Source organism: Homo sapiens, chromosome 5 (assembly GCF_000001405.40).
Source record: "Homo sapiens chromosome 5, GRCh38.p14 Primary Assembly".
Classification (NCBI taxonomy): domain Eukaryota; kingdom Metazoa; phylum Chordata; class Mammalia; order Primates; family Hominidae; genus Homo; species Homo sapiens.
In genome coordinates, this window is record NC_000005.10 from 97906104 (window position 1) to 97926591 (window position 20488).

General features: G+C 35.4%; 1 long non-coding RNA gene across 1 annotated transcript in view; it reads left to right on the forward strand.

Annotated features, from left to right (window-relative positions):
- Positions 1 to 17372, forward strand: part of LINC02234 (long intergenic non-protein coding RNA 2234) — an 82718-nt gene extending 65346 nt beyond the window's left edge. Inside the window, exon 3 of the long non-coding RNA NR_146299.1 lies at positions 16028 to 17372. This is a non-coding gene — a long non-coding RNA (long intergenic non-protein coding RNA 2234). The remainder of the gene's footprint in view (positions 1 to 16027) is intronic.
- The last annotated feature ends 3116 nt before the right edge of the window (positions 17373 to 20488 follow it).

Genomic DNA, 20488 nt, shown 5'->3' on the forward strand with positions numbered 1-20488 from the left:
ATATTCTCATTAAACCTCAGTCTTTATGTGAACCTCACGTCTTGGAGCTGTGAACTTCGTAAGTGTTTCTGCAGTAGTATCGTTTTATCTTCTCCTGTTTCTTACTTTCTTGGCTGGTTGCAACCTTCTTAATCTTTTTCCTTGAAGCCCTAATCTCTGTTGACTATAGTGGCTTTTTTTCCCTAGGTGGAGCAGGAAGTTCAGGGAGACTTAAACCTGATGACTTCCCTTTCCCAGCTGAGATAAGGCTCTGGCAAAGTATTTTTCTCTAAAGAGTAGGCCTTTGTTATGGAGAAGCTGTTGGTGCATTTTTTAACTACTTTATTATCCCCTCACCTAACCAAAGCTGTGAGAGGATTTTACATCTGTAAGAAATCAGTGAAGTTACTATAAGTAAAGCCCACAGAAGTATGGGGGACCTTTCCAACTACAACCCCAAGAGTTTCTCACTCTTATTCTTGTCCACACTTAGCCTGCAGAAATTTATCACAATTAATATTTCTGTTTTCCTACTGGTTTATGGCTTTAGAAGTGGCTTCTGTTCTAACTCTCTGGATGCTTCTGTCTCTCTAGGTGTTTGAAGAAGCTGCACTGAAACCTCAGTTCTTTGATAGGTTCAAGAAAACTCATTGATTTTCAGTTTATCCAGTTTTTTTCCTGCTGTAAGAACAGGAGTGACAACTTCCAAGTCATATGTTAGAGCCGAAACTGAAAGTCATATACTGTTTTCTTAATATGCTATATTTTTGTTACAGTTACTGTTCTAATGTCAAAAATCTGAAAAGATTAAATATTTTATGTTTTAGTTTTAATGTATGGATTATTTCCTATGTTAGAACTAACTTATAGCTTCTAAGAAAATATTGCTAGTATTTTGCAAGGTAAACTTAAAACTGAAGAGTATTGTTTATCACTGTCATTTTTATTTTCCATAATAAATAGGTAAAAATTGCTCTATAATATGAACTCTGGAAAGCAATATGCCAAGAAAAAAAGAATAATGTATTAGTACACTATTGTATCATTAAAACATAGTAATTTGCATATATATAAAAATTGGATAGTCTGAGATTGGAAGTATCTGTTTAAAACTTTAAAACCTCTGGTTGGATTACCATTTATTTGGCCTGCAAACTGGGGCTTCATGAACCTGTCAGCGTAAGAGATTATATGAAGCATGAAATATTCAAACTTTTATCTCATATAATCAAATATGAACAAGGAGCTCTGACATTATTATCATAATAGATTTTGCAAACACAAATTTAAAAAATTTAGTAAAAAGTTAAAAAATTGAGTTAGAGATATGGCTTAGTTAAATGTTTCAATTATTGATTAAGGTTTGTGTTAGGTTACAAAATAACGTTTAAAGTGGCACAAGAACCTTTTATAATGTAAATCAATAGTAGTAATCAGAACAACAGCAGCAAGAATAACAAAAGAAACCTCTTATTAGAGTAGGTAACTAGGCAGATATGAACAAGGCAGATGATGTCTCCTGACCCCCTAGAATATCCACCGACCATCAGGTAATGGTCAGGGAGTTGTTATACTGTCTTTTAAAAGTAGTAATTAGTGACAGCCAGCACCAAAGAAAGGCAGTCTCCCAATAGACAGAAAACACCTGAAGCTGGTGATCAGCAGCTGCCTGATAAGATCTCAGGAGTTGGGCAAGAGAGCTTAAGCATGTGCACTAAGAGGCAAAATGGAGGAGTTTAACCAGTATATTACCTTCCTCTAGGAATGCTCAACTGGTAAGAGACAAATGCCTCAAATGAGCATGAACACAACTTCAGTAAACTCACTGTGCATGTGGCCCCTCCCAAGTGCTGGCATGTCCCTGCATATGCAGACAGCCTGCCTCAAGACAAAAATCAAGGGAAGAAAAACAGAAACCCCAGAACCATGCCAATGTATAAAATCCCATGAGTTAAGGGCTGAACAGTGCAATAGGATCTCTCAAGTAGCCCGCTTGGCCTTTTTCCAAGTATACTTTACTTCCTTTCATTCCTGCTCTAAAACTTTTCGATAAATTTTTACTCCTGCTCTCAAACTTGCCTCAGCCTCTCACTCTGCCTTATGCCCCTCAGCCAAATTCTTTCCTCTGAGGAGGTGAGAATCAAGTTGCCGCAGGCCTATAGGGATTCTTCACTGCTAACACTCAGATAACTCCAGTTTTAAATTTTAGAAATCTAAAGATGCACAATGAAACTGATTCATTGAAGAAAACCAACTTTGACAAGCTTTGCTTGTCAATGTTCTTTTACAATATTAGGGTTTGTAGCATTCTTTCTATTCAATGCTTGCTTAAAGTTAAGGTAGAATGAAAAAAAAAAAACAGAAAAATGGTGCTTATCTTCAAATTCCTCGGAAATAAATGTAGACTTATTGTCCATACCATGGTGTCTAGCTGTGATAAATTATATACTATTAACAGAAAGCCATGCTGGTTGCTGGAATGATGTGAGATGAAAAAATGGCATTTGGGCCTTAGTTAAGAAGACTCTACCACAATCAAAACCTTCTCCTTTAATATCTATCTGATATCAGATAAATGCCTTTGAGCAACTCCCTTTCTTTTGAGATGAAGCCTCGCTCTGTCCCCCAGGTTGGAGTGCAGTGGCACAATCTCAGCTCAATGCAACCTCTGCCTCCTGGGTTCAAACGATTCTTCTGCCTCAGCCTCCTGAATAGCTGGAACTACAGGTGCATACAACCATGCCCGACTAATTTTCATTGTATTTTTAGTGGAGACTGGGTTTCACCATGTTGGCCAGGCTGATCTCAAACTCCTGACCTCAAGTGATCCACTCATCTCGGCCTCCCAAAGTGCTGGGAATACAGGCATGAGCCACCTCACCTGGCCGAGCAACTCTTCTTAGTGATTTCTTTTAAGAAAATATTTGTCAAAGTTTATAAATAATGTAATTTATTTATGGTCTTTTTAAATATTTGGAGAAGAACATTATATCAATTTTTGCAATGTATTAAACAGCTAAATATATGTCAGACACTCCAGTAGGCACCTTACATATGTTACGAATAATTATTACTATATTTTTAGTACTATTCTTTTCCAAACATGATACTCGCTTCTGTTACTGGAGAGGGGTCCTGATCCAGACCCCACGAGTGGGTTCTTGGATCTCACACAAGAAAGAAATTTGTGCAAGTCCACAGAGTAAAGTGAAAGCAAGTTTATTAAGGTAAAGGAATAAAATAATGGCTACTCCATAGACATAGTAGCCCTGAGTGCTGCTGGTTGGCTATTGTTTTGGTTATTTCTTGATTACATGCTAAACAAGAGGTAGATTATTCATAAGTTTTTCTGGAAAGGGGTGAGAAATGGAACTGAGTGTTCCTCCCCATTTTAGACCATATAGGGTAACTTCTGGATGTTGCCATGGCATTTGTAAACTTTCATGGTGCTCGTGGGAGTATCTTTTAGCAGACTAAAGCATTATAACTAGCATGTAATGAGCAGTGAGAATGACCAGAGGTCACTTTTATTGCCATCTTGTTTTTTTTGGTTTTGCAGGTTTTGGGTTGGCATCTTTACGGCATCCTGTTTTATCAGCAGAGTTTTTGGGACTTGTGTCTTGTGCAGGCCTCTTAACTCATCCTATGACTAAGAATGCCTAACCTGGTGGGAATGCAGCCCAGCAAGTCTCAGCCTCATTTTATGCACCCCTATTAAAAATGGAGTCACACACTCTGGTTCCAATGCCTCTGACACTTCTACATAATTATTTAATTTATTAATGGCACTACACATTTTCTCAAAATACCCTTTATTTTTTTCTTTTTAAAATCATACTTTAAGAGAAGGAGGCTAGATCCTTCATGGCATTGTGAACCCACTCTATTTAGACCAGTACTGCCTACTTCTATATATCTCATTCCTATTGAAATAAATGATTTTTGAAAGCCTTATTTGATAGTCACTACTTAAAAAAACAACAACAAAAATAAAAAATGCATTCAATAATGATTAACTGATACAACCAGGAATGTACCTTTGCAGTATATTAACTTTGAGGATTTTTCTTTCTCTTTATCCTTGATGGTTGCAGCTTCCCACTACATGTCATTTTATTTATATCATTTGATTCTGAATCATGTTTCAATGTGAGTCCTCACTCTAGCTTTTCTATAATGGTTCTTAAGTACGTATTCTCAAAGACTGTTTTTGTGCCATTTTGTCCGTTTTATTCTGTTGGAACTTTTTTTGGTCTGATTTTAAAATCCTCCCATTTTATTTTTCTTGTCTCTTAAATGCTCTTGAAATTTTAATTTCTCTGGAATTCCTACAAAATTCTTTCATACTCTCTTGCAATTTATTTTACTTCTTTGTGTTATATAGTCTACAGCCTAGAATTTATTCTGCTTATTGATTTTGTGATTTAGTTTTATTTCCAAAAGATTTTAAAAATGATTTTTCATATCCACCAGTTCTGATCATATTTCTTCCTGCTTTTGTTTCAGAACCAGTTTTATGAAGGCTATTTATTTGTGTTTTTGGTGAGATATTTATTAGCATTCATTATCTTTCTATATTATTTATTTAGTATCTGGGCTCATTTTCAGCGAGATTTTAAAAATGCTTTATTATAAATAATTTAAAATATGCAAACATAGATAAAAATAGTATAATTAATCCCTATACACAATTCACCTACATTCAACCATCACAATTTTTCCACATTTTTAAAGTTTATTTTTTCTTCTCTATTGTGATTTTTTTAGTTTCTCCATTTGGGCTAGAGTATTTTAAAACACATACTAGATATCATGACATATCCATACATAATTCAGTATGTATCTCCAAAAGATAAAAACATTTTCTACCATAACCACTATGACATTATTAACATCTTGTAAAATTAAAGACATTATTTGTTGATATTATCTAATATTAGATAGCATTAAAAATTTTCTCATTTTTTTCAGTTTATCTTTTTAAATTGGTTTGTTTCAATCTGGATCCTAAGCAGGTTTGAGTAAAAGTTTGTGCCATTGCTCCTTCTGTGCTCTCTCTCTCTCACTCTTTCTCCGGTTGTCTTTCACAATAACTCTTGTTAATACCTAAACCAAGGTAAAGGTGAGGCTGCAGAGCAGCAGTGTCCAATCTTTTGGCTTCCTTGGGCCACATTGGAAGAAGAATTGTCTTGGGCCACATATAAAATACACTAACATTAATGATAGCTGATGAGCTAAAAAAAAAAGTCACACACAAAAAATCCATAATATTATAAGAAAGTTTACAAATGTGTGATGGTCTACATTTAAAGCCATCCTGGGTCATGTGCGGGCCAAGGGACGTGGGATAGACAAGCTTGTTGTAGAATGAAGATCCACAAATTTCTGCTGTAGAGATTTCTAAGAGTTCCCTGATTATTTAGTCCCTTAAACTTGATTTTATATTATTCTTGGTATTATGAGATAGCCTATTACATTGCAATCAATGACAGTGTTTTTCTCCCCTTCATATAGCTCAAGCTGGTTTACAGTGGGCTATTCTCATCTCTTTATTTATATTTTAAGTGCCTGCCTTTAAACAATTTCTATTGGGGTTTAGGTTAAATTCCCTCACACAACACCCCCCCCTTTTATTTTTCTAATTTAGGAAGGACTAACATCTGTGACTTTTATGCAAGACCAAGTATTTTTCTTACTTTCTATCTTTATTGGTCAAATTCTACTTCTTTACTCGACATTGTTGTCGGTTTGCACATACAATGTCATAATGTAATTTGTATTACATTATAACACACAATTAAAATAAAACAGTACTGAAGGCTCATATTTAAATGCAAAACTTCATGGTTCTACCTTAATTTAGCCCCAGTTACTCCCCAAAGATTAAACCAATTTCAACTGTCTAGATTTTTATGGTGTTTAATCTCCATATTCTGAAGTAATATGCTTATATTGCTATTTTGGACTTATCAATTTTAGAGAGCATATTTGCCTGCTCTAAAGTACACTCATAGGGGAAACAGAATTCCACTGACTAACATAATGACTTGTTTCTCAAATAATTTCTAGACTAAACAATCATGACAATTATGTACACCAAAGTTTTTTCTTCTGTACCATTTTCTTATATAATAGGAGAACAAACAAAAAAAATCAATGACAGGGAGAACTTTCCACATGTCTGGAAGTAGAGACGTGACTTACAGTGCTTTTGCTGAAAATGGTAAGAGAGTGACATTAATCCATCTTCACTTTCCTGACAGGTCATTTTTATAACACTATGGGCATGCATATGTAAGTCAGTTGACTGATAACAAAAAGTTTATAATTGTGAACCAAATGAAACTGACTGGCTTAACGGTGGAGAACATACCTGTGACCTTGTTTATATTAGCCCTGATATGTAATAAATTAGGTTATATAGTCATAGATGGAGGAAGCATTCCCTTTAAAGAAGATAATACTAGGCTTCTGAACTATTCTGATGAAAGATTGGCCCGCACAGGGACTTGTCTAATGTATAAAGAGCTATATTTGATGTGGACTAATTTTATGTAAAACTGGAAATACTTACTCACAAAATCAACAGATATTAGAGTTGAGGTTAGAGTCCAGCATTGATGCAATCTAATCTTATTTTATAGTTGAGGATAATTGAACTGAGAGAAGTTAAAAGGCAGATATATTCAACTGTTCTCTAATTTTAGACCTAATTGTCCATTGGGCATACTTCTGACATGACACTTCACTGAATTCATTATTTACATGTCAGGCTTCCTGCTGGACTGTAATCTAATGAAAGCAAGGGGCAACATCTAGAATCCTAAACATTTGGACAGTGCCTATCTACTACTTCTGTCTCAGGAATACCAAGCCCATAGTCTTACGTTATGAGTACATTGTTCTTAATACTCCATAATATCCTAACCCTAATTTAAAAATAAATTTCTAAGAAAAAGTCAACAATGAACTCTTAGATGCCACAGGTTTCTCTGAGACAAATTAGGCTATCTAATGACATTTTTTAAAGAACAATTTTGTTTTGTACTGTGTAAGAGGGAGCCATTAGTGTAGAAATTGCATCAAATAATTCTAGATAAATATATTTAAATATTTGTTATTACTTTTAAGCTTTCCTTGCATTAATTAAATTTTGATAGCTATATGGATGGCCTGGTTTAACAATGTAAAATGTATTTTGTTAAAAATTTGTTTTCCAAAGTTTAACTCTCCAAAGATGTATTTATATTGTATGAATGCAATCAGGCTTACATCCAAATTTTCTTTAATCAGGATATTGGTATTCTAAATCTCTATGGCCTTTTTTTTTTCAGGCTTTTTAAAGGGTCAAAAGGACTGTCTCAAAGAATTAAATAAAATAATGCTATTAGGAAACATATAAAAGTAAGAGAGAGGTGATCCTGGTGTTTGTCCTGCCACACCACTGACAGTTGTAAAACATTACCTACTTTGGAGCTCAGTTTCTTCCTTCTGAAGCTGAGTCCTTTAATAGGTGATCTTCAGGTTACCTTCAAACATTTAAGTTCTATGATTTAATGCTAAAATAATTTATGCATACCAATCTATTAGAGAAGAGAGTAAATGAAGTTCCAAACAGAATGATCACTATAATACCTATTTTGATAAATTAAGAGACAGCTGATATGCCTAAACATTCAATCATAAAAATGTTAAGAGAGTAATCTTTAATACAGCAATTTTGCCTCCTGCTACTTAGTCTCACATTTTATATATTTTAATGAAAGATAATCACTCAGAATTATAATTTCAGAACATTTAAGTTGATATTTTAGTGAGAATAAACACATTTTTTTTTGGCTTAGAAAATAGAAATTAAGCCTGGGCAACAAAGTGAGACCCTGTCTCTACAAAAATTTAAAAAATTAGCTGAGTGTGATAGTGTGCACCTATAGTGCCAGCTATTCCAGAGGCTGAGGCAGGAGGGTCACTTGAGCCCAGGAATTCAAGGCTGCAGTGAGCTATGATTGTGCCACTCCAGCATGGGTGACAGAGTATAGATGTATGTCCAAAATAGCAATATAAGCATATTAGTTCTGAATACGGAGATTAAACACAATAAAAGTCTACACCCATGCTCTGAGAAACCCTTCTCAAAAAGAAAGAAGAGAAAGAAATAAAGAAAAAGAGAAGGAAGGAAGGAAGGAAGATACTAATCTTTATTTAAAAAATATCTGTGGATGTGGTGTTTTTAGTTGAGGAAATCTATTTAGTGAAGTCTGTAGGCTTTAGTTTCTGTACTTAAGACAATGCAATCAACTGCATTTTAGGTTGTGTTCATTAGTGTTCTTTAACTTCCTTTATTGTTATAAAAACTACCAAAAGCTGAGAATCTTTTGAGAAAACAATCAATAAAGAGACTTTGTCTGTGTCCAGTATTCCCACCCCACATACTCCTTTGCTTTGCCTTCAGTGAATGCAGGAACTGAGACCATCATTACTGAAAATGTGGCCGTCACTACTGACACTCAGCATATCTACACATTCTTTACCTTCCCCATACCAGCATTACCTCTGTTAGAGTCTGGGGAATCTAACATAAACATCAGTGCAGGACTTACAGTTAATTGCTTTCAAGAAAACAAAATACACCATTGTGTCATTTTATGGTGTGCATTCAAGGGGTGGGGTATGAATGGCAAAATCATTGACAACTGTTTCACTGGCTAGAGCATCTGGATTTCTCTTCAAATTTGCAGAAAGTTTATATTTTTTTTCTCATCCAATCCATCTCATCTTCAGCAAGCTTATCAAATTGCCAAGAAATTTTTGGAATAGGTGTTTTGTTTTAAAAAAATTAGTTTACTGTTGCTATTGATCCAAGATGACTCCACTTTATGCTTCTTGAATATAAAAGAGATATAAGTTCTACAGGATCCCTTAATTCTATCATGTGGAGAATATGAATTAAATACCTACTATGTTTAATAATTTAAAAAGACTTTGGGACAATGTCAACATATTTAAAGGGGAAAAGGTTTTGAGGTTTTGGGGTATGGACTTTATTTTGAACTAATTGCTTTTCTACTAACATATCATTTCATTTAATGCTTTAGAAAATCTTGTGAGAAAGGCTTAATGTCCCTCCATTCACACATGAGGCTGAGAGGCTAAGAGAAATAATAATCCAGTCATGGTCACACCCCTTCCAGAAAAGGAAGGAACCGGGATACAAACCTGGATATGGCTCCAAAGTTCATGTTTGCATTAATTCTGTGCTGCTCTCTTCAAGGAGCTTATGAGCTAGTGGAAGAAGTGAACATGCAAATATCCCAACTGCAATATTGACCAAATGCCCATCTGAAGAGTACAAACTAAAAGTCTGTTTTATAAAACACAATAATTCCTGAAAGTTAAATCAAAGTTCAGTTTAAACCACCAATGTTTTGTATACATTTCATAAATGCTGAGGTTGATATAAGATCTTATCTGTCATCAAATAATGTCTGATTTCAATTTTTGTTATCAAAATAGCCTCATTCTTCTTAATTGGTTTTCTAATTAGGAATTGGTTTAAATTTAGACATACCAATAAAATTATATGAACATATAACTACAATTTTTCATATTTGTATGGTAATTATTTTTAAAATACTACTCCAATGTAAGAAATTTTTACTTTGCATATATCTTCTGCATATATTTATACATTTAAGATGATTTTTTAACCAGTATTCATTTTTTAACATGAATATTCCATTTAGTCATAATCAGTCTACATGTAAATTTATATACTGCTTTTTTGCATATAACATTACATAATATTCTTAGTTTATAAAAATTTAAACTCAAAAGACTGGATTATGTTTCTAAAAGAGAATAATAAATGTGGTACTGTCATATAACACATTTTTAGAATTTTTAAGTTCTTTAGGTAGATTTCTTTTTGCCCTCAAATATATTTTAATATTGAAAATTAATAAAAGCAGACTACAATCTCACCTACCAGATAATCTCTGGTGATTTTAAATTGAAGCATGAACTTTTACTGATTAGAGAATTCAAAAACTTAGGAAAGGTATAAAATTATGAAAAGAAAATCTTCGTCACCTCCTTAGTACTTGTCTGCAAAGCTAACCAGGATTAATTTGCTGTTTATTCTTCCAAATAAAAATAGACACATACCACTATGTGTAATATGTGTCCTTCTATTTACACCAAAGAGACCATGCACATATCCTATCTTACACATCTATTCTTTTACTTAATGACACTTTGGGGACTCTTTCCATATCCTTAGATGGTTCTATCACATTTTTTGAAAGCTTCAGTCTGCATAGTTTTCCATTATATTAAAGTCTCAACTTACTTAAACAAAACATTCCTTCTCATTTATATGCTATGATACTAGATCTATATTGTGCAATGAGAAAGCTGCAATCTGTATCTTTTCTATCTCATTTTTGTTTTTCTATCAAATCTATGTGGTAAGTTTTCAGAAGTTTAGTTCTTAGGTAAAGGAGTGTTGTCATTTAAAATGTTGATGAACATTGCTAATTTTTTTTGTATATATGTTGTATAAAATTTGTCTCCCAAAGTGGACAGCAATAGCTAACTTTCCAGAGTGGTCACTGCTAAACACAACTTATTATATTTGACATTTGACATGTATTAACTCATTTAATCCTCACTCTGCTTTAGACATTATATCGCTACACATATTTATTTTATTTTTTATTTTTATTTTTTTATTTTTTATTTATTTTTTTCAGATGGAGTCTCGCTGTGTCACCTAGGCTGGAGTGCAGTGGCGCGATCTTGGCTCACTACAAGCTCCGCCTCCCGGGTTCACGCCATTCACCTGCCTCAGCCTCCCGAGTAGCTGGGACCACAGGCGCCCACCACCACGCCTGGCTAATTTTTTGTATTTTTAGTAGAGACGGGGTTTCACCATGTTAGCCAGGATGGTCTCGATCTCCTGACCTCGTGATCTGCCTACCTCGGCCTCCCAAAGTGCTGGGATTACAGCATGAGCCACCGCACCCGGCCTTTATTTTTATTTTTTAAATTTTTATTTATCTATTTTTTGTGAGACAGAGTCTCATTCTGTTGCCCAGACTGGAGTGCAGTGGCAGGATCTCAGCTCACTGCAACCTCTGCCCACCGGGTTCAAGAGATTCTGCTGCCTCAGCCTCCCAAGTAGTTCAGATTACAGACATGTGTCACCATACCAGGCTAATTTCTTTGTATTTTTAGTAGAGATGGGGTTTCACCATGTTCCTGCCCAGGCTGGTCTTGAACTCCTGACCTCAGGTGATCCTCCCATCTCGGCATCCCAAAGTGCTGGGATTACAGACTGAGCCACCATGCCCAGCCCCATATTTTAAAGAGAAGGATCTGAAACACAGTAGAGTGCCTAAATCACTTAGCCAAAATCATGTGGCTGATAAATAATGAAGCTACACTATGAACATAAGCAGTTCAGCTGTATGGTGTTAACCACCCCAACATATTGCTTAGTGTTGTTGCAGGAAAGAGTAGATACTTTCAACTTTTGGATTTTGACTAATACAACAAATGAAAACAATAAGTCAATTTGAGTTAGATCTTTTGTAATAGGTGAAGTAATATTTATGTTTTGTTCATTACACAAATTGCTTTTTCTGTGAACTACTTTTTCATACTTTTGCATAGTTTTATATTGAATTATTCAAGTTTCTCAGTAATTTTTACAAAATCAATAGAAAAAATGAAGTGAAACTTTGTGATATGTGATACACTTTCCAGAGAGAACTTTTATATCTTTATACATTTCAATTTATTGATTTTTAGCTTCTGGATTTGATCTTCTTTTTGACATTTTTATTTTATTCAAATTATTTCAGTATATCATTTGCAACATCTAAGAATTTTTTTAATTTAAAAATGATTGTTATTGTGTATTATCAGAATCCAGATGATAAAGTCTTTCATCATAAAAAGGTTGTTTTTAAAATAGTCCTTCAAAACTGATAAGATGTTTATAAACTGACAGTATTTGAGAAGAAGAAGATAGGTAGTTGGGAAAGGTAATATATACATGGGAAAATGGCACAGGTATCTGCCCCAGGCTAACTGGATGAATAGGAAGAAACTGGTAACTGAATGAGTACAGCTACTCCGTGTGCAGTGTCACTGAACATACAGACCTGAGGCCTTTCTCTTCCCACTTTACTTGATCTCATTTGTCTAAAAGCACAGTAACCTTTGTTACTGGCAACTCAAAGGTTACAGTAACCTTTGAGACTGGAAAATGTACAGTAATTTATGCAGAAATTAGTCCATGGGGGTAAGAAAATCCTACATTCTTTGCTTGTGACCTGAAAGACATCTAGATCTGTTGATGAAAAACCAGCAGTTTTAACTCATCACCTTCTTCCTAAATAAATATCAAAAAATAGAGGATATAATTCAACATAAAATGAAAATTCTTCTGTGAAAATGGCAATAGCCTGATAAGGAGAATTTACTTTTATATCTATATTGGTTTATAGGTAAAGAGGCAACATTAGTAAAAACATTTGGAATTTTTTCCCACTCTGAATGTGATTTCAATATCCATGATTGGTTCCTAGCAAGCTGCCTTCCATCTCATATCTGAAAAAAAAAAAATTTGGAGCCGCTATTTGTTTAATTAATTTGTATGAGCCCAGCTGTTAGAACATCGAGTATGAATTTAGATAAGGGAATAAAATTGGCCTCATCTGTCCAGTCCTATTGTGTTGTGTTACCAATTATATTTAATGGAAAAAATCCAATGGAGAAAATGTTTGGCAGTAATAAAGCAGCTGACAACAGGAAAAAAAGCATAGTTAGAGTTTAAGAACATCTTGGTTTTCTAGCCCTTATTCATTAATTCTATCTTGTTTCTTTTTTGTTGTTGTTCTCTTTCTCTGTCTCTTGATTGTTATTAATTTTCCTTTCTTTCCACCCCTTATACCAAATATCAATCAAAAACTTTGCTTTTATGTTTAAGTGATGAAGGCAATGACTAATTATTGTAAGAATTACACTTTTTCCATTTTCAACTTTGTCTGGGAATAGACCCAGGTTTGAGTTAGTCCTAAACTTTACTGGACAGCTCCTGATACAAAACATTCATGCCCAACTCTCTAAAAGGGAAAAATGGTACTTAATAAAAGTTTAAGCACATAACATCATCAGAAATAGAGGAGATTCTGTTATATCCATGAACAAATGTATTTATTGGGGAAAAAGGCAGATGTACATAAATCTAAGCTACTCTCCAATCCTGTGTGAATTGAGGGGCCTTACTGAGGTGTTGACACTGGTCCTGAGGAGTTCCTAATCTGAGTGCAGAGCCAGTGGCAAATGTGTTTTTAGTCAAATATAATTACTAAAGAATACAAACATAACGTTTGCCATCCAAGACCTCTGCAACTTGAAACCCCAGATTAACTTGCACTGAAGGCCTTTTGAGTGAAGATCAGTCTGGAAAGATTTTTCAGGAAAGATGGTTTAGCTAACCAGATAGAGGAATCTGACTCCAGATCTAGTGGGCAGCCCCTCTTATTCACAGGCATTAGCCACAGCAATTACATGTTTTCCTCATTGATATGACAGAGGTGAGCCAAGACATAGAGGAGGGTATTATCCCTATCTTCACTATAATATCAGTGTTGTGTTTAATATTCGGAGACAAAGGATTAGCTTCGTTTTCAGGGAGAGATTTATAGAATAATGAGCTAAATCTGTGTTTAATAAGGTTTTTGTTCTTTTGTGTTCACTGTAATGTGGAAGTAATTTCAGTCTTTCTACACAGAGGTCCCGACTGACTCCCATCACAGTATCGTCAGAGCTCCAGCTACACAGTGGAATACATCATCTCTGGTTGCACATGGCTGGCAGCCTCTGAAGATTGGGTTTAAACTGATGGGGCAGGTCTTTCTCTTTCAGTAATGCCTGATACAAGTGGCCTTTATTATATTAATAGCTTACCAATCTCCATTACATTGAACTCTTTCCAGAAATTCTCCAAGTTTTGTACCCTACTTCATGACACTAATACATTATGCACAGAAAAAATGTCCATATTATAACAATTAGTATGTTTATATATGCACATGCAAAAGTTAAACTAGGAACAAGTACATATTGAAATATATGTATGTGTGTGTATATACAGACACATGTATATGTGTCTGTATATACACGCGTGTATGTGTGTGTGTATATGTATGCACACACATAGTGGCAATAAGGTGCTGGACAAAGATGAAGATCTTGGTGCATCCTAATGTTGAATTTTGTAGAATTTTTAAATATGGGAATTACTAAAAGGATCATCTTTAATAATTTAGAAGTTTCATAAAATTGTATTGCAGATTCTGCACTCTGCCTTGCATGTCAGGTGATCCGAGATCTTGCCCAAGTCAAATATAGGTCCTATGACATTGGGCAAGTCACTTAAACTCTCTAAGCCTTCCTTTCTGCTGGGTAAAGTCAAGTCAAGCTAGCTAATCTCCAAACTGCCTACCAGGTCCAAAGGGCTGTGGTCACAACCAAAGGGATCCATTAATGAAATTCCCTTACAGAGAGGTTCCCAAGTTAGTGACAGAACTGTAACGCTATTGAACGTTCTATTTAACACTGCAGAACCCAAGAGTGAAACTGAATCAAATAAAAATTCACACTTACTTGAGAGCTCCTAATCTGTCAACATTTATCTGGTTTCACAGATGCTTTCTTTTTCTCTGATACAAAACTATTTATATTCAAGACACATGGCATAAAAACTGTTTCTAAATACATCTTTATAAAGCCTCAATAGCTTATTTGTTTCACTTACCTTTTTCTGCATAAAAAAGTACTCCAAATCTCTGCTCCCAAGTCTGAGGGTCAGAAATGTGGAGAGTAGCTCCCCTCTGCCTCATAGAGTCAGGTGGGGTCAGTTGGGGTGACTCATACACCTGTGGATTGGCTAAAATGGTTTGCTTGGGGCCTGTTATGGACTGAATGTTTGTGTCTCTTCAAAATTTGTATGTTGAAATCATATTCCCATTGTGATGGAATTTGGAGGCAGGGCCCTTGGGAGTATGAACTGAGAAGTGGGCCCTCACTAGACACTGAAACTGTCAGCAGTTTGATCTTGGACTTTTCAGTCTCCAGAATTGTGAGAAATTAATGTTTGTTTTATAATCTACCCAGTGTAAGGTCTTTCATTATAGTAGCCTGAACTGACAAAGGCAGGGTCATATGTGTGACCTCAGTTTGTGCTGTTGGCTACAGTCTGTCACTCCCCTGTCCTTGGATAATGGCTGTGATGGTGGGAAGAGCCACAAAGATTTCTCTCACATATGTGGCAACTCAGGCTTGTCCACGTGCCCTTCTCACCCTGTGAAGATAGGGTGGGCTTCCCACTGCATGGCAGTCTCAGAGGAGTTGGATTTCTTACATGGTGACTGCCATTCAAGAAGGAGGAAATGGAAGCCTCCAGTCCTCTGAAAGACTAGGCTGGAACGGGCATAATGTCACTTCCATCATATTTTATTGGCTCAGCCAGATTTGGCAAGTACACAAATGATCTCCATCTCTGGGTGGTAGGAATGGTCAGGAATTTGTAACCATCTTTAACCTGCCACAGTAACCACTCCTGGTTTGGTTACTTCCCTAGAGGCAGAAGAATTGTTTGGGTTTTGTCATCTATGTGGATACCTTCTCCATTTTAGTTACTGGCAAGTTTAAATGACCAGATTTTTTTCCAAAGGGATATTAAACCAGGATGAGGGTACAACTAATATTCAGAAATTCAACACAGGCCTCACTTGTAAAATGCCTTCAACAGTTCAATATAGGCACCAGAGGGTACAGTGCTTTTTGCATTAGAAGCACATACTTTGACTCTCAGTTGGAGACAATCTCACTTGAAAAAACTGTACAGCCTCACTGACGATGGATAAAGAATTAATTCTGTAAAAAAAAAAAAACAGTATATGAGTTTGCTAGAGCTGCCATAAAGAAGGTATCACAGACTCGGTGACTTAACTAACAGAAATTTATTTTCTCACAGCTCTGGAGGCTAACCATCCAAGACCAAGATGTCAGCAGGATTGGTTCCTGAGGGCCTTGAGGAAGAATCTGTTCCAGGACTTTCCCTTTGGCTTGCCATTGGCCATATTCTCTCTGTGTCTTCTCACGTCTTCCCTCTGTATTTGTTTCCAAATTTCCTCTTCTTATAAGGACAGTAGTCATATTGGAAAAAGGAACACCCTAATAACCTAATTTTAACTTGATTACCTCTTTAAAGACCTTATCTCCAAATACCATCACATTCTGAACTATTAAAGATTAATGCGTCAATATATGAATTTTGTGAGGGGCAGGGAGACAGAATACAACCAACCCACAACACCCAGATACATAGCGAAATCTTCTTCTTCTAGGCCCCCTGTGCCTGTGTCCACCACTTCATCCCCCAATTAGCTATATTTGAAAAAGTAAGAGGGAAAGAACAGTTGGAGGGGGAAGAGAGAGAGAAAGAAGACAGACAACTTAGATTATGTGCCCTAGATGTTGGCCTTACAAAACGGGAGCAAATCTTAACCAATCATTGTAGCAAAACCTTTTGTTTATGAAGGAAGTTCCTTTTGTTTCTTTTCAGTCCACTCTACCTGCTAATTAAAATCAATAATATGAGATGCCGTGCTATCTTTCCTACCTGAGCCACTTATACTGTATTGTCAGGTTTGGTTTATTTCATTTTCTGAGCTTATTTGCCAGTTAATCATTTGTTTTTATATTACAAAGTGGCTCATCTCTGCCTCATTACACACTGAAAGTAATGCCTGACAAGCGATTGTCCAACGCTCACCAAACCGTGCTTGTGCAGGTTGGCAAAGGATGCTCTCAGCATAGACAGGCTGACTTACATACAGCCAGCCTACCTTTCCTGTCTCACTATCAGATCTGTTCATAGGTCCCGACACAGGGGAAAAAAATCAGAATGATATATAGAATTAAAGGATAATGGAACTGGAATAATGTTGAGCATCTTAATTAGAGACTTTGGGCAGGATATAATCATACATGTGAGTTGAATACGTAATTAGAAGATTAGAATCTTTGAAAAAGAAGGAAGCGTTAGTATTCTTTAGTTAGCAAAATGCACTGTTTTATAGAATGTAAAACAAACAGCACCAAAGAAGACAAAGTTTTATAAAATGACTTTCCCAAGGTTTACTCATTTCTTCATATAAGAGAATGTGCTTCCAATGTACTGTGAAGATCTACAGCATTATTTACTGATGTAAAAGAAAACATTTTTCATTAATTATTTTGCCCATCTTCTGAGTCCTCCTGTATTTCATATTGTACCAAGGTCTATCAATAAATTGATAAGCTCAGTGCAAACAGAATAAATGTGCTTTTAAGACATTGTATGTGCTGCATCATGAAGCTATTGCTCTAACATCAATGGGACATTCAATTTGATTTTTTTTCTTTAGTGAAAATGGATATTCACTACTGACATTCACATTTTATGCCTTAAGTCATTGATGATAAACAATACATAGCTGCTAAAAAGTTGCCTGAGATGAAGGGTAGAGTATGAAACTAGCTGGTTAAAGTGAAAATTGAGCCCATGACTCATAACCTCAGCTTTGTAGAACTGCCTTAAAATTGGACTTTGGTCTAAGGTGCTTGAATATAGTTCTGGTTTTAATTTTCTAAGTGGCATTACTCTCTAATCCAAGAAATAATTTACAATCAATACAACTTTTAGAATCCAAAAAATCTTAAGTATAAGGCAATTACAGGTGAATTAGAAAACAAAATTTACTGGTAGAAAATAGTTACTGTAAATTTTAATTTTATTATTTGATAAACAACATGGCTAATAAGCCCAAGTGTTAAAAAGCCAGTGAGAGATAAATATATTTTTGACAAGCAGCTTTTCAATACGAGACTAAGAACTGAAACTCACTATGAGAATGGGTGGGATTGATAAACCTTGTAAATAATTTCAGAGCAGGCTAGGGACAGCTTGACACCCTGAAAACCTTGCAAAATTAATCTTTCATGACAATATTTGAAGACTGCCATCACTGTCATCCCTTCAACAAATATTCACTGAGCTGTGACAAGCACAGTGCTTGGGGCTGTGAATAGCACAGTGGTATATAACAGAGACTATGACATCAGGAAGTTCATGGTTGGTGTCACTTATTTAACAAGCATTTATTGAGCACTACCTATGTGATAGGCACCTTGCTAAATATACCCTGGGGATTAAATAGAACATATGACATAGTCCTTGTGCTCAAGATTTACCTAACCACTCCACGTACTGATTTATGGAAATTCTGAAACTAGGTTTGTTATTTACCCAAAAAAGACACTAGCTAACTAATTGATAGAGAAATTTTCTGCAATATTATCTCTCAGCCTTCAGGCAACTGCATCTTTTTTGCTACCTCACCTCTATATTCTTAACTGCTCTGCTCTGGTTTTTGTAAGCAGTGTTCCTTGTGCGGCCTGTATTTTGGAACCTCTGCTCATGTAATGGTGTTTGCCACACAGTTGAACTGTTGAACTAATTCTTCTATATTTTGACCACACAGTTTTCTTAGATACATTTTGTACCTGGTTCTCAATTTCCCCTTGCTTTGACCCTTCATGTGTATATCCTGTAACTGCTGTTACAGATATCTGGTATCTGAAAAAGTCCTTTTTCAGAAAGCCTAGTTCTGGTATTTTACTTTGTTGCATTTCTATATGAGAAATATTTATTGTCTAATCTACTTGAAAACTGATGAAAATGTCTATTTAACATTTATTTTTAATTCTGATGCGCTAAAATCCAAATGTTATTCAGTTTTTAACATAATGAAAGAAGAGAAACTTGCATATTAAAACAGAGACATTCATCTAATTAGTCTTACTAATAAAATTCCTAGGTAGTTTGAAAAATAAAGATTTGAGAAGATACTTTGCTTTGACACTGTTGAATTCAAAGTCACCCAGAAAGAAAATTTGACATAATAAAATATTTTGTCTTTTCAAATTGCCCACTGAGAAACAAAAATAAAATTCTAAGCCCCCAGATGACTGAACCAACCCTCTCTTCGTCAAGAGGAACCTCATGGAAACCTTGGAAGCTGAGTTCATGACCATGATGGGATGGGGGATCAGACATGCGTTATATCCCCACTCCCTTGCTAAGTGTCATTAGGCTTTCTTCCCTCAGGGCTAGACAGAAACCAGCTCTTTCAAAAGTCATGCCAGGTACAGAACAAAGACAAAACGAGATTCATCCTTCCTTCATCCCTCCCTGAGATGTCCACTTCCTCTATTTCCTTTTCTTCAAATGTTCACTTTATCTTACGTAAAAAGTAGATTTACCAAACACCAACTCAAGTCTCGCCAGTATGTTTTTATTCCTTTCACTGCTGCCCTCCTCCCCACTTTTTAGATAAAATATATAAATACTAAACCTCTGGAGAACCTCTTTGGACAAAACAGCCACATGTGCCTGTGACTTGAGTTTTTCCCGGGTGCACCCTCAGGCTGGCTCAATAAACCTTGATGATTTAAGATTTATTATGCTCAGTTACTCATTTTGGTTGTCACCACCATATTTTAGGCTGTTGTTTGTTACTGGAATACTCCTTCATTCCCAGAAATCCTGAAAATTCTTCCAAACATATAAGTTTAATGAGCATTTTAATACTAATTATCTACATAGGGTATTATGAGTATATGTTTTTCCATATCACCCTTTGGCTTACCTTATTACAGCAGCAACAGTGTTTTGCTTATTTTAGTTGCAGTTAGAAGGGTTTCTTCTAATCAGATTACATTTTCATTTGACAAATTTATGAAAAGAAGCCTTAAAAATACTTGCCAGGAGAATCTGATAATTTATGTCAAAATTACATCAGCTGATTTTTAAAAATTTTTATTTCCATGCTTTTGGGAATATAGTTGGTTTTTGGTTACATGGATAAGTTCTTTAGTGGTGATTTCTGAGATTTTAGTGCACCCATCACCTGAACAGTGTACACCATACCCAATATGTAGTTTTTTTATCCCTCATACCCCCAACATTCCCCCTGAGTCCCCAAAGTCCTTTACATTAATTATTCTTATGCCTTTGCATTCTCATAGTTGAGTTCCCACTTATAAGTGAGAACATTTATTTGGTTTTCCATTCCTGAGTTACTTTGAGTAGCTACCCAGTAGTAGGATTGCTGGATTAAATGGTAGTTCTACTTTCAGTTTTTAAAGGAATCTCGATACTGTTTTTCACAGCGGTTATACTAATGTGCCCTGCTCTTCTGTATTTACAGTAAGAGTTGTTAAAGCAAACTAAATACGGCCTGAGAAGGACTCCATACTTCTATATTTGAGTCCTTGTGGATGAACTGCAATCTAACATAATAAGTAGATAATATTGAAAATTTAATTTAGGAGTATGTGCCTGTAACAGTGGCTGAGTCTTGGCCAATCTCAACAGCCATACTTCAACCAG